At 48.4% G+C, this 13,271-nt stretch overlaps 1 protein-coding gene across 7 annotated transcripts in view, besides 8 other annotated features; it reads left to right on the top strand.

The window, feature by feature from the left end:
- Positions 1,076-2,007: an enhancer, noted in NCBI's record as "H3K27ac-H3K4me1 hESC enhancer chr5:79553901-79554832 (GRCh37/hg19 assembly coordinates)". NCBI's record gives its function as "activates a minimal SCP1, AML or CMV promoter by ChIP-STARR-seq in primed H9 embryonic stem cells {active_cell/tissue: H9 hESC(primed)}" and the evidence as "EXISTENCE:reporter gene assay evidence [ECO:0000049][PMID:30033119]".
- Positions 2,008-2,941: an enhancer, noted in NCBI's record as "NANOG-H3K27ac-H3K4me1 hESC enhancer chr5:79552967-79553900 (GRCh37/hg19 assembly coordinates)". NCBI's record gives its function as "activates a minimal SCP1, AML or CMV promoter by ChIP-STARR-seq in naive H9 embryonic stem cells {active_cell/tissue: H9 hESC(naive)}" and the evidence as "EXISTENCE:reporter gene assay evidence [ECO:0000049][PMID:30033119]".
- Positions 2,942-3,875: an enhancer, noted in NCBI's record as "NANOG-H3K27ac-H3K4me1 hESC enhancer chr5:79552033-79552966 (GRCh37/hg19 assembly coordinates)". NCBI's record gives its function as "activates a minimal SCP1, AML or CMV promoter by ChIP-STARR-seq in naive and primed H9 embryonic stem cells {active_cell/tissue: H9 hESC(naive and primed)}" and the evidence as "EXISTENCE:reporter gene assay evidence [ECO:0000049][PMID:30033119]".
- Positions 2,942-4,168: a biological region, named in NCBI's record as "NANOG-H3K27ac-H3K4me1 hESC enhancer GRCh37_chr5:79552033-79552966".
- Positions 3,729-4,168: a silencer, noted in NCBI's record as "silent region_16137". NCBI's record gives its function as "represses an Ori minimal core promoter by ATAC-STARR-seq in GM12878 lymphoblastoid cells {active_cell/tissue: GM12878}" and the evidence as "EXISTENCE:reporter gene assay evidence [ECO:0000049][PMID:35858748]".
- The window catches only part of SERINC5 (serine incorporator 5), a 144,824-nt gene continuing 135,593 nt past the window's right edge, over positions 4,041-13,271 (top strand). For all 7 annotated transcript variants that reach the window (NR_126060.2, NR_126061.2, NM_001174071.3 and 4 more), the window contains exon 1: positions 4,041-4,193. Coding sequence is in view for 4 of the 7 variants with exons in the window: in NM_001174071.3 (NP_001167542.1) it covers positions 4,167-4,193 (27 nt within the window). In the remaining 3 variants the exon portion in view is untranslated. The remainder of the gene's footprint in view (positions 4,194-13,271) is intronic.
- Positions 4,279-4,558: a silencer, noted in NCBI's record as "silent region_16136". NCBI's record gives its function as "represses an Ori minimal core promoter by ATAC-STARR-seq in GM12878 lymphoblastoid cells {active_cell/tissue: GM12878}" and the evidence as "EXISTENCE:reporter gene assay evidence [ECO:0000049][PMID:35858748]".
- Positions 10,312-10,879: an enhancer, noted in NCBI's record as "H3K4me1 hESC enhancer chr5:79545029-79545596 (GRCh37/hg19 assembly coordinates)". NCBI's record gives its function as "activates a minimal SCP1, AML or CMV promoter by ChIP-STARR-seq in naive H9 embryonic stem cells {active_cell/tissue: H9 hESC(naive)}" and the evidence as "EXISTENCE:reporter gene assay evidence [ECO:0000049][PMID:30033119]".
- Positions 12,525-12,819: an enhancer, noted in NCBI's record as "tiled region #10230; K562 Activating DNase unmatched - State 5:Enh". NCBI's record gives its function as "activates a minimal TATA promoter and a strong SV40 promoter by Sharpr-MPRA in K562 cells {active_cell/tissue: K562}" and the evidence as "EXISTENCE:reporter gene assay evidence [ECO:0000049][PMID:27701403]".

Raw genomic sequence — 13,271 nt, 5'->3', positions numbered from 1 at the left:
GATTATATGCTAAACAAGGGGTGGATTATTCATGAGTTTTCCGCGAAAGGGATGGGCAATTCCCAGAACTGAGGGTTCCTCCTCCTTTAGACCATATAGGGTAACTTCCTGATGTTTGTAAACTGTCCTGGTGCTGGTGGGAGTGTCTTTTAGCATGCTAATGAATTATAATTAGTGTATAATGAGCAGTGGGCACGACCAGAGCTCACTTTGGTCGCCATCTTGATTTTGATGGGTTTTGGCCGGCTCCTTTACTACATCCTATTTTACCAGCAAGGTCTTTGTGACCTGTATCTTGTGCTGACCCCCACCATCTCATCCTCGAAGAATGCCTTAACTTCCTGGGAATACAGCCCAGCAGGTCACAGCCTTATTTTACCCAGTCCCTATTCAAGATGGAGTCTCTCTGGTTCAAATGCCTCTGACACTATTAACCTGGTTTTGAAGATGAGGAAACTGAGGCTTGGAGGTCACCCAGCTACTTCTTGGTAGAGTTAGAATTTGCAACTTCCTGGCTTGAAAACTCAGGCTTTATCCTTTTCTGGTACCTTTCAATAGAGGCTACAAGTCCCCAGGTTATTTATTTATTTATCTATTGAGATAGAATTTTGCTCTTGTTGCCCAGGCTGGGGTGCAATGGCACCATCTAGGCTAACTGCAACCTCCGCCTCCTGGGTTCAAGTGATTCTCCTGCCTCAGCCTCCTGAGTAGCTGAAATTACAGGTGCCCACCACCCTGCCTGGCTAATTTTTGTATTTTTAGTAGAGACAGGGTTTCGCCATGTTGGCCAGGCTGGTCTTGAACTCCTAACCACAGGTGATCCACCCACCTTTGCCTCTGAAAATGCTGGGATGACAGGTGTGAGCCACCGTGCCTGGCCAAGTGCCCAGGTTATTAAGACTCTTTCTCCAGGTGGCAGACATCCACATTCTCAGAGTCCTCTCACATTGGCATGGAACTAGCAATGTAGGGGAGGGAAAAATGGCTTCCCTCTACCCTTCTAGGTTCTTTACTTGGATTGCAAATTAAATTGACATAACAGAGATTTTTTTTTTTTTTTTTGAGACGGTATCTTGCTCTGTCGCCCAGGCTGGAGTGCTGTGGCACAATCTCGGCTAACTGCAACTTCCGCCTCCTGGGTTCAAGCGATTCTCCTGCCTCAGCTTCTGAGTAACTGGGATTACAGGTGCGCACCACCTCGCCCGGCTACTTCTTTTGTATTTTTAGTAGAGATGGGGTTGCACCATGTTGGTCAGGCTGGTCTCAAACTCCTGACCTCGTGATCCGCCCACCTCGGCCTCCCAAAGTGCTGGGATTACAGGCATGAGCCACCACGCCTGGCCGACATAAGACAGATTAACAGAAGAAAAACCGTTTTAATTACCTGCATACGCAGCAGCACAGGAATCTCACAAAACATGAAGGGCCAGATGATTGAAGCTTATAGCATTCTGAGCTAGAAATAAATAAGGGCTTGGGGCTTCTGTGGGGACAGTGGGGAGGCACCACAGGTAGGATATAGGAGGGTTAGTGGAGGAAATGTATGGTAAATAATGTTGCCTTGTGGCTGCGCGCGGTGGCTCACACCTGTAATCCCAGCACTTTGGGAGGCCGAGGTGGGCGGATCACGAGGTCAGGAGTTCGAGACCAGCCTGACCAACATGGTGAAACCCCGTCTCTACTAAAAATACAAAAATTACCCGGGCGCGGTGGCGCGCGCCTGTAATCCCGGCTACTTCAGAGGCTGAGGCCGGAGAATCGCTTGAACCCGGGGGGCGGAGGTTGCAGTGAGCCGGGATCATGCCAATGCACTCCAGCCTGGGCGACTGAGCGAGACTCTGCCTCAAAAAAAAAAAAAAAAAAAAAAAAAAAAGTTGCCTTGTTATGTAAAGTCTCTCATGTAATAAAAGTTCTCTGAGCAGCTGCCTTCCTGACACAGATACTTTTACTATGTGGACTTCCTTTATAGATGTAAATTTGCTTTACAAAAGGACAGCTTTTCAGAGCTACTCCCGTGTCTGCAGTTTCTCAGAATAACCAGCTTGAAATGTGCCAAACAAGTGTATTTTGGGATAGCATATTTTGGTATTCTACAGTCATAATTTGGGGTGCTGTGGCCTGAGCCTCAGCAGCAAAAAGAGGACATGATTCAGGGTTCGGAGCGCTGGATTCTATTACCAGCTCTGCCCCCTAACCCAGTGGTCTCTTGTGAAAGGTCCTCGAGTTCCGAGTCGAGTCAATTTCCCTAAAAGGCAAAGAGGCATCGGAGTTCCAGCTGGCTTAAACATTTGTAGATTTCGCGCCTTCCCTTTTCGCCCCTCCTTCCTCTCCACCCGTCTCCCCACCCCGAGCTACTAGGGGGCCTGCCCATTTCCCCAGGCCAGGAGTAGGGCTGAAGTGAAGTGACCGCGGTCGTAGCCAACAGCGAAGCTCATTAGAAAGTCCTGGTGAGAGCCTCAGCTTCTGATGAGTCACAGATCGCCACGGAGCAGGTTGCTGCGCTTGACTGATTGGGTTTACCCTATTTTTGTTTTGAGTTAGAGCCAACTGTCCTCATTCCTTTTCGTGGCTCTGAGTAGGGCCTGCTCCATTATATCTCTTTCTCTAAACGCCTGCATCTGAGATGCTGGAAAATCCTGCGCAGCTCATAACCCAAGGCCTGGTTTCCATTCACCTTTCCTCTTCTACTCCTAAGCTGCCCAAGACACTCCTTTGCCAGAGCTCTGTCTGGAAACGAGTCCCTCTAAGGTCAAGCCTTGCGTCATGTGCCAGGGGATCAGACGAGTGGATTCCAGGCCCAGTTTTACTTCCTCAACTTTGCTGTGAGGCTTTGGGCAAGTTATTTAACCTCTCTGGGCTTCAGTTGCCTCACCGCTAAAATGGGTACGGTAATGCTTATTTGAAAGAGCAAAGGGATTGGCGCAAAAATCGCACTAACAGAAATATCTTCATTCCGGCAGGGCGCGGTGGCTCACGCCTGTAATCCCAGCACTTTGGGAGGCCGAGGCGGGCGGATCACCTGAGGTCAGGAGTTCGAGACCAGCCTGGCCAAGATGGTGAAACCCCGTCTCTACTAAAAATACAAAAAATTAGCCGGGCGTGGTGGCAGGCGCCTGTAATCCCAGCTACTCGGGAGGCAGAGGTTGCAGTGAGCCGAGATCGCGTCACTGCACTCCAGCCTGGGCGACAGAGTGAAGCTCCGTCTCAGAGAAAAAAAAGAAAAAAAAAAAAGAAATACCTTCATTCCTCTTGGGGAGGTGGCTGTGAGGACAGCAGATCTGAGTGGGAGAAAACCTAGAGACGGCCTCCCTGCCTTCTGTATGGAACAAGCAATTATTGGGCACCCTCTTTTTAGTGAGGAAGCAGGGACGGAAAATGAGTCCTTGGGCCAGCGCAGGAGGAGAGGCTGGAAAACATATCAATATTCAGGAAGGCACGGAAAGGGCTCTCAATGGATCTCTCACCAAGTGCCATCAGGGCAGAACAGTCAAGGGCCCAGGGATTCGAGGAAGCTTGGGAGGCGCGGAGAGCCCAAAAGTTGAAAGTTTTCTTGGCAGATGAGGGAAGGAAAGGGATTTCAGGAACAAGGATCTCGTGGGTGGGCTGTCCCAGTCGGCGCGCGGCAGAGCGCAGACCAGCACCCGGCGGTCTGGTCTGTGCAGGAAAGGCAGGAACCGCTTACTAAGGCTCCAACCTTTTAGAGGCAGCAACAAGCTCTTTCTCTGGATCCGAAGGCGGAGAGGCGCTGCGCTCTCATTTGGCGAGGGCCCGAGCGCGGCCAGACCGCGCACCAGACCCGGAGCGTGGGGCCCAAAGGCTGGCGGCCGACTCCGGAGCTCGGCGCCCCAACCGGGAAGTGATCGCAGCAGCCCACCCGCCTGACGCCAGCGGAAGTGCGAGCCCGGGTCGAGCCTGCTCCGCCGCCGGGCGCCCGGGAAGGGGCGGGCACGGGGCGGGGCTGGGGGCGGGCGAGGCGGGGCCGGCGGCGGGGCGGGGCTTGGCCGCAGTTGTTTTTACCCAGGCCTCGGCGCCTAGGCGCTTCGCCGAGGCTGATCTTCGTTCAAGTGTGAGCTGCGGCTGAGCCCAGCGCTCGAGGCGCGAGGCAGCCAGGAGGGCCCGTGCGGCGCGGGGAGCCAGCGAGCGCGCCTTCGGCATTGGCCGCCGCGATGTCAGCTCAGTGCTGTGCGGGCCAGGTGAGCGAGGCCGGGCGCAGCGCGGGGGTTGTCAGATCGGAGAACCGGGCCAGGAGTCCAGGCGTGGAGGACCTGCCTGGGTGCGCTCCCAGCTCCGCGGCCGAACGTAGGGCCCGGGTGGGTCGCTCGGGCTGGCCCCGCGGCGCTCAGCCGTCCGGGAAATCCTGTGCCCTGGGCGGGCGGGAAGGGGCAGGGGGAAGCCCGAGAGGCTACCCCGGGGTCTTCCCGTCCGGCCTCCGGGACTCCGCGTGGAGCGGGGCGTGCCGGGCTCGGGCGGAGGATCCCGACTGCTCCAGGGGCGTGTCGCCTCTTGCGCCGAGCACTGGTGAATAGCGCTGAGCTCCGTAGCCCTCTCCACTCTGCTTGTCGGATGAATCCAGGAAGAAAAGTGGGTTTAGGCACCGTCTCCTTTGCTATGCCCTGAATAAAACTCGGGTCAAACAACCCAGGCAGGTTGCGCTTGGCATCTCGTAGTCGAGCGTGGGCTCTGTACCTTTGAGAATGTCTCGAAGCCTGACTTCCAAACTACCGGGCGCAGGTCTGGGCGAAGGGAAAACTCAGCCCTGCTTCCTGAATTTCCCGACCCAACCCTGGCTCGGTACTAGCACGACTGCCTGGGTAGGGCTGGAACCTTCCTGCCTCTCTTTGCAAATAAACTTGTTCGAACCTGTTTTTTAACTCTCGCCTATTTAAACCTATGATGTCTTAAAACATTATGTCTCCTACCAGTTACTGCATCAGTGTAGAATTAGTACGTCTTAGCCCTGTAATGCTGGTTTCACTCCTTCCTGCAGAGTTAGAAAAAACGAAGTAGGTGAGTCTCTTGGATGTGGAGCTCTTTTCTCCCTTTACATGTGGATTATCAGCGTTTCGGTACAGAGTTTTAATGGAGTGTTTTCACGAACGAATCAGACTCTAGGGAGCATCCTGGTTCGGGGTGTTCTTGCTGACACTCAGCCTTTCCACAATCGAGGCCAGCTGTAAGTGATGGAGTGGTTAAACTGTGGGTTTCTGTAACCGGCGATTATACTGGCAGATAATCTGTCCTGTTTAGAGTGGCCACGTGGAGCTGTCTTGGTTTTTGAGGTCTAATACTGTGCTTGGCATACATTAAAGCTGGCCTTTTCAGAGTTGAGGAAATTGAGGCTTTTGACGACTGAGACGAAATGATTTTTTTTCCCTGTGTCAGGCAGAGAGAGAAAGAGAATGAGAATGGTCACCACCTTACCAGGTATTTGAGAACAAGGTGGACCAGGAAAGACTGTTTTCAGAAAGCTCTGCAAATCTTTTATTCCCGTTTTGAAATACTTTTTCTCCAATATGATGCGACACTTTTTATTACGTAGTAATGATACAGCTCTTTAGGGGCATCTGTCCTGGTCCCTTGAAGTCCCCTTGAGGCTCTTTCTGCCATTCCCAAGTTCCTAATTTAGAGCTCTGTAATTACCAGTATTCAAATGGGTTTTGTAAAAGAATTATTTTGCTGTTGATGTTTTAGCAGGTTTCTAAAGTCTCCCCTCTTAGGACTTTGGAAAGAACCAAATCAAAGTTAACCCCTGCTTTCCCAGGCCTGCTGGAGGCATCACTGTGGTGGGCCTCAGTGCTGTGTGATGGTGATCACACTGTGATTTCCTGTGGATGGGGCGGTAGGAAGTTAAAAGAAAAGCAAACAGGCTGGGCGCAGTGGCTCATGCCTGTAATCCCAGCACTTTGGGAGGCAGAGGCGGGCGGATCACCTGAGATCAGGAGTTGGAGACCAGCCTGACCAACGTGGAGAAACCTCATCTCTACTAAAAACACAAAATTGCCGGGTGTGATGACGCATGCCTGTAATCCCAGCTACACAGCTAAGGCAGGAGAATCGCTTGAACCCAGAGGCAGAGGTTGTGGTGAGCTGAGATCACGCCATTGCACTCAAGCCTGGGCAATGAGCAAAAAGAGCAAAACTCCATCTCAAAAGAAAGGAAAGCAAACAAAACCTCACAGCACCGTCAGAAGTTACCAATTCTTGTTTGTTTCTGTGGGCACCTGCCTTTTGCCAGGAGCCTGCTATATAGTCATAAGTCAGACAAGCATCTCTGCTCTCAATGGCCTATCTGGGCAGGGGAGATCATTCATAAACATGTAAACAATGAAACAATGAATATGGTACTGGTACTGTCAGAAGGCCGTGTGGTAAGCAGCCTTGAGGAGGGTTGCCGAGGGAGTCTGAGAAGATGCCTGTGGAGTTGAGACTGCTCAGTGAGGAGAGGCAAGGGAGTCTAGGGTGGCTGGGGTGTCTTAGATGAGGTCAGAGAGAAGAGCAGGACCAGAAATGGCCAGAACCTGTCAGCTGCCTTTGGACTTTGGATTTAATTCTGGTTGCAGTGAGAGGCTGTGGGAGGATTCTGAGCAGGGGCGAGCTGTGGTTTGATTTGCACTTAGAAGATAATTGGGATGTCGTGAAGACTGGACTGTAACGGGCTAGAGTGGAGGTGAGGAAAGCAGTTCGAGTTGGTCATGAAGCAGTTGGTGAGGAAAACCTAAGTGGATATTTGCCTCTTAGGGGCAAGCAGTGTTCTAGGCTTCGGCAGTGAACAAAAATCCTTTCCTGATGGAGCTCGAATCCTGGCAATCTGCTGTTGCTGTAGTCCCAGGAGGAGACAGCGTGGTACCTTAATTTAGGCTATGGCTGTAGGAGTGAGTACAGTGGGACATCATTGGCTTTGGGTATATTTCAGAGGTAGAACTGGATTTGAGCAAGGATTAGAAGTGGGATGTGGGAATGAGACAGGCTCGGTTTCTGGCCTGAGCCACTGGGTAGATGATGATCGCATTACTGAGGTGAAGTAGGAAATTGTTAGGAAGAGGACATTTGGTGAGGAAAACCCAAGTTTCTTGGCTTCGTTACATTAGAGATGCCTATTATAAATTTAATGGAAATGGCAAGTCACCAATTAGGTATTTAGGTCGGGAGAAGTTTGAGGTCGGAGAGAGACATTTTGGTGACTTTCTTTAACTGCGGACCATCCTGAACAATATGTAACCCATAAAAGAGCCTGGGCTTTGGACTCAGGCCTGGGTTTCAATTTGGAAATCTGGACAATGAGGACTGGTGTGACTGGATGAGTTACTTACCCTCTATGACCTCATTTTACCTCAACTATTGAATGGGTACTTCTTAGGGTTATTGGGAAAATTACATGTGATGATAAGTGTAAAGTCTGTAATATAGGATTTGGCAGAGTGTGAGGAACCCCCCAAATCTTATTAGTGGCCATTACCCATCTGCATCAGGATAATATCCAGATCAGCTTATTTTATTTTTGTATCTACTCTGATATTCACTTTGGTTTTGCTTAGGCTGTTGGCTAATGGATGCTAAGAAAGTAGAGATTACAGGGGAGTGGTCACTCAACACTTTATGGGTTCAAAGTTCTGTGCTAGGCCCCTAGAGACACGGTAATGAACACAGGGCTTCCTTGTTCTCCTTTAACTTAAGGGCTATGTGGAGGTGGGAGTGTTGGGGGAAGTTAGCTACAGAAAATGACAGTGCAGGCTGGGCATGGTGGCTCTTGCCTGTAATCCCAGCACTTTGGGAGGCCGAGGCAGGTGGATCGCTTGAGGCCAGGAGTTCGAGACCAGCCTGGGCAACATGGTGAAACCCTGTCTCTACTAAAACAAAAATTAGCCAGGCGTGATGGTGCACGACCTGTATTCCCAGCTACTTGGGAGGCTGAGGCACCAGAATCACTTGAACTTGGAAGGTGCAGGTTGCAGTGAGCTGATATTGAGCACTGCACCCTAGCCTGAGCAACAGAGTGAGACGCTGTCTCAAAAAAAAAAAAAAAAAAAAAAGGAAAAGAAAAGAAAATGACAGTGCTCACTGTCAGAGCGGAAGTGAGGTGTGTGCTTGGAAAATCTAGACAACCTTTCCAAGGCAGTTTGACAATAGGGATTGGGAGGGCTTGCTGCAGGCAAGTATAGGCATTTATGACAATAATAATGCTGAAATTAATAGGCTTCTTGCCTGAAAAGTTCACCCGAGGCAGATGCGCCAACATTCTAGTAGGCAAGACTCAGCTAATGTCTGGTTGGTGGGCAGCCAAGACTATTGCACCAGGAGGATCAAGCCTGTGGTTGCCATTCTGAGTAAAGGTTCACTCTGTCTTTTTTTTTTTTTTTTTGAGACAGCGTCTCATTCTGTCACCCAGGCTGGAGTGCAGTGGCGCAATCTTGGCTCCCTGCAACCTCCGCCTCCCGGGTCCAAGCGATTCTCCTGCCTCAGCCTCCTGAATAGCTGGGATTACAGGCACTTGCCACTACATCTGGCTAATTTTTGCATTTTCAGTAGAGATGGGGTTTTGTCATCTTGGCCAGGCTGGTCTCGAACTCCTGACCTCAGGTGACCCGCCCGCCTCTGCCTCCCAAAGTGCTGGGATTACAGGCATGAGCTACTGCGCCGGCCCTATTCACTCTATCTTTATAGCCAGTTTATGCAAGGCAGGAATGCCCAGGCCCAGGTATTTCCAGCCAGATCCTATTTCTAGATCACCAAGATTTTCCTCAATGAAAACCCATGTATGTATGTATGTATGTATGTATGTATGTATGTATGTATGTATGCATGTATGTATTTAAAGATGGGATCTAGCTCTTGCCCAGGCTGGATTGCAGTGGCTCAATCATAGCTCACTGCAGCCTCCAACTCCTGGGGTCAAGCAATCTTTCTGCTTCAGCCTCCCAAGTAGCTGGGACTACAGGTGCGTTCTACCATGCCTGGCCAGTTTTTAAAAATTTTTGTAGAGACTGGGTCTGGCTTTGCTGCCCAGGCTAGTAAAACTCATTTCTGATGTCCGTTATGTTAATTAACAAAGCCTTGAATGCCACCAGGAACTATCCATCATCAAAGATAAACAAAGCGGGACATTAGTTAAAGCAGTAAAAACACGTTTATTCAGTAACTATTGACTGTAGGGGAAAGAGCTGAGCTCCATTCGATTTTGTGCAGAGGTGACTAGGCCTTTTAAAGTGAGCATAAGGGAGTAAGGAGGGGAGTGAGCGGTGGCTCAAGAGTCAGGAAAGTGAAAAGTTACAAAGGGTTGGTCGCTGTAAATGCAATTAGGCCAGCTGTGTGGCCTTTGATTAAATGTTTGCTGGAATAGGGGTCTTATCAGGGCAACTGATGCCCCTATAATGCAGCTTAAAACACACACCCACATACACAGAGTCCATGAAGAAGACTTATTTAAAAAATAAATTACACACCACATACAATAATGATGATTCCAGGCCGGGCATGGTGGCTCACGCCTATAATCCCAGCACTTTGGGAGGCTCAGGTGGGCGGAGTTCGAGACCAGCCTGGCCAACATGGCGAAACCCTGTCTCTACTAAAAATATAAAAATTAACTGGGCGTGATGGCATATGCCTGTAATCCCAGCTACTCAGGAGGCTGAGGCAGGAGAGTCGCTTGAACCTGGGAGGCTGAAGTTGCTGTGAGCCAAGATCATGGCACTTCACTCCAGCTTGGGCAAGACAGCGAGACTCCGTTTCAAAAAATAATAATAATGATGATGTTTCCCCCAAAATGTCCTTCCTTCTTCACTGTAAAACCCAAATCTCTACTTTGAGGTCCCAGCTCAATTAATGTTTCCTCAGTAATGATCTTTCTCTTGTTTTGAGAGTCCTCACAGAATTTCTGCTTCGTGGACTTGATTGCACCACTTAGTACTGGGTCATCTGATGCATTGGAATTAAATCCTGGCTACTGCAAGGATGTTTCCTCTCTTCTTATAAGCAGAGCACTTATTGTGACCTAGCTGAACCCCCTGTTGAGCTCTTTTGGTTACAGAACTCTTGTTCCCTATTGCTCTTTGTTTATAGTGATTGGAAATGTTAGGTCCTCATTATATTACATGGTGCTTCCACTGGAAGGGATCCAATTACAAAAATTCATTATTTCCATGATGATACTTTTTTGAACAATGTGGGAAGTATTTGTGAAACAGAGGGAAATCACACATATCATTACCCAGAGAGAACCACATTTTGATGCTTTATAGTCAGTTACTTATATTTAATATTTATTATTTTATTTTTTTTTATTTTTGAGACAGAGTTTTCGCTCTTGTTGCCGAGGCTGGAGTGCAATGGCGTGATCTTGGCTCACTGCAACCTCCGCCTCCCAGGTTCAAGCAGTTCTCCTGCCTCAGTCTCCTGAGTAGCTGGGATTACAGGTGCCCGCCACCACGCCCAGCTAATTTTGTGTTTTTAGTAGAGATGGGGTTTCCCCATGTTGGCTAGGCTGGTCTTGAACTCCTGATCTCAGGTGATCTGCCCGCCTCAGCCTCCCAAAGTGCTGGTATTACAGGACTGAGCCACTGTGCCCGGCCGATATTTATAATTTTACTTTGCAAAGTTGGGATTTTGTTGGAAGTGCTGTATTTGATCCCACTCTTTTTGCATAATTATGAGGTGACTGATAAAGTTTTTTTTAACATGCACCCACCACTTATTGTAGCTGTTAATGTTTTCTGGGTTTACATTCATATGTAGATAGTCTTCTACCTTCAAACTTGATGGTTTCTTTTTTTTTTTGGAGACAGAGTCTCGCTGTGTTGCCCAGGCTGGAGTGCAGTGGTGCGATCTCGGCTCACTGCAAGCTCCGCCTCCCAGGTTCACACCATTCTCCCGCCTCAGCCTCCCGAGTAGCTGGGACTACAGGCACCCATCACCACGCCCGGCTAATTTTTTTGTATTTTTAGTAGAGACGGGGTTTCACCATGTTAGTCAGGATGGTCTCGATCTCCTGACCTCGTGATCCACCCGCCTTGGCCTCCCAAAGTGCTGGGATTACAGGCGTGAGCCACCGTACCCGGCCTGATGGTTTCTTCAGAGGTGTTAATGTTGAATGTGTGAAAGTCACTTAATGAGCTTTTGCATTAAGAGGTTTGGGTGTGTTTCTATTCCCAAAAGGACAAAAGTAATGAAAAAAAATCCCTAATTTCATCTCTGTTAGATGGCATCATTGACAATATATTTCTGTCATTTTCAACATTTTCTTTAACTTTGACCTTTTCTTTTTACAATTACTTTCACAGATAACGTCTGTCCAAATGGTGGTTGAGTCACTGTTTTCCTGCTGTATGATGGTGGCCATCTTTGCTTCCACTGCATTAACATTGAGGCCTGTGTTTCTTATCACTAGCACTGGCACTTTTATTTTCCTGTTCATCTTTATAAAGATGTGGGCACAATGCAGTAAAGTGCCCTATAATTGTTCTGTCAAGGTGGTGTTTTGGTTGATGTTGGCTAAATACGGTAGTACCCCTTTACTTGCAGTTTTGCTTTCTGTGGTTTCAGTTACCTGAGGTCTATTGGGGTATGAAAATATTAAGTGGAAAATTCCAGAAATAAACAATTCACAGGTTTAAATTATGCCCTGTTCTGAATAGTGTGATGAAACCTCACTCCATCCCACCGGGATGTGAATCAATTCTGGCCAGCATCTCCATGCTGTCTAGCTGTCTACCTATGCTCCTCACCCCTTAGTCACTTAGGAGCCATCTCGGTTATCAGATCCACTGTCGCAGAATTGCAGTCTTTGTGTTCAAGTCGTTCAAGTCACCTATATTTGACTTAGTGGCCCCAAAGCGCAAGAGTAGTGATGTTGGCATAGTGTCATAAGAGTTTGATTTTATTATTTCTTATTGTTGTTAATCTCTTAACTGTGCCTAATTTAGAAATTAAACTTCATCATGAGGCCAGGCAAGGTGGCTCATGCCTGTAATCCCAGCACTTTCAGAGGCTGAGGTGGGTGGATCACTTGAGCCCAGGAGTTAGAGACCAGCCTGGGCAACATGGAGAAACCCTGTCTCTACAAAAAACAAAAATTAGCCAGGGCATGGTGGTGTGTGTGCCTATATAGTCCCAGCTACTTGGGAGGCTGAGGTGGGAGGATCACCTGAGCCCAGGGAGGTCGAGGCTGCAGTGAGCCATGGTTGTGTCACTGCACTCCAGCCTGGGTGACAGAGTGAGACCCTGTCTTAAACAACAAAACTTTCTCATAGGTATGTATATACAGGAAAAAACACAGTATATATGGGGTTGGGTACTATCCACACTTTCAGGCATCCACTGGGGATCTTGGAACACATCCTCCTTGGGTAAGGAGGGACTACTCTGTATAGCTCACTGGTGAGCTGATACAGGAAGGGTGGCTTAGGAGTGTCTTTGTGTAGTGTAGCTAAATTCAGGTTGTCAGGTAATCCTCTGTCACTTACCTTGAACAGTATGGAGAGTGAAGGTTGCACTCTTAGTTGGAGAGTTGCTTGATGGTTGCTCATTCAAATATGTTTTCTTGGGCAGCTCTGTAGCTGACCTGTCCAGCTGACAAATAGCTTTGGACTGCAGCAAGTCTGACTTTGTAGGCACGGTTGAGGAGAGGCCAGTCTGTAGGCGTGGAAGGCAGCCTCTGACTCATCTCTCTGTGCTAATTAAATAAAAGGTAACACCCCCTTCCCCATTGCTTGCTTTCCGCCCTCGTTTTCTGTATAGAGGCTGTAGATTTCCCACAGATACTGAGTATCTGGGAGTGACTATGAGACACGGAAGCTTTACTTTCCAGTTTTCCAGGTATTTTAATGTAGTCACCAGTTAGAGCCTCAGAAAGGGCACTGCAGTAATTATGGCATTGTCTACTTTTATTTCAGAGCAGTATGTGGCCAGATCATCTGTGATAACTTGATGTTAAAAAGGAAGTCTTCATATAAGCTGATATGTCTACAGAACTAGCCATTGGATGTAATTCTTTGACCAAGCTATTTTTAGTACTTTAAGTGGCCATACCTGCCTAATTGTAAAGACCCAGTGTTTTCTTAGTGTTCTGAGTCAAGCCGCATTGTTGGTGAATTTTACATATTGCTGTTTGCAGTTGAATTTAGGGTTATGATTGGATCCTGAGAACAGTATCAATCAAGTTACCTCTCTAAATCACTGTGATTGTTCCCAAATATTAGGCATCCCAAGTAGCCCAGAGTAAACCTTTGCTGCCCTGCTTAAAATGTATTTTAAAACATTTACAGTGAGAATATCCC

This window comes from Homo sapiens, chromosome 5, assembly GCF_000001405.40.
Source record: "Homo sapiens chromosome 5, GRCh38.p14 Primary Assembly".
Lineage (NCBI taxonomy): Eukaryota > Metazoa > Chordata > Mammalia > Primates > Hominidae > Homo > Homo sapiens.
Note: the sequence above shows the minus strand (reverse complement) of the source record. Positions and strands in the feature narration are given on the sequence as shown.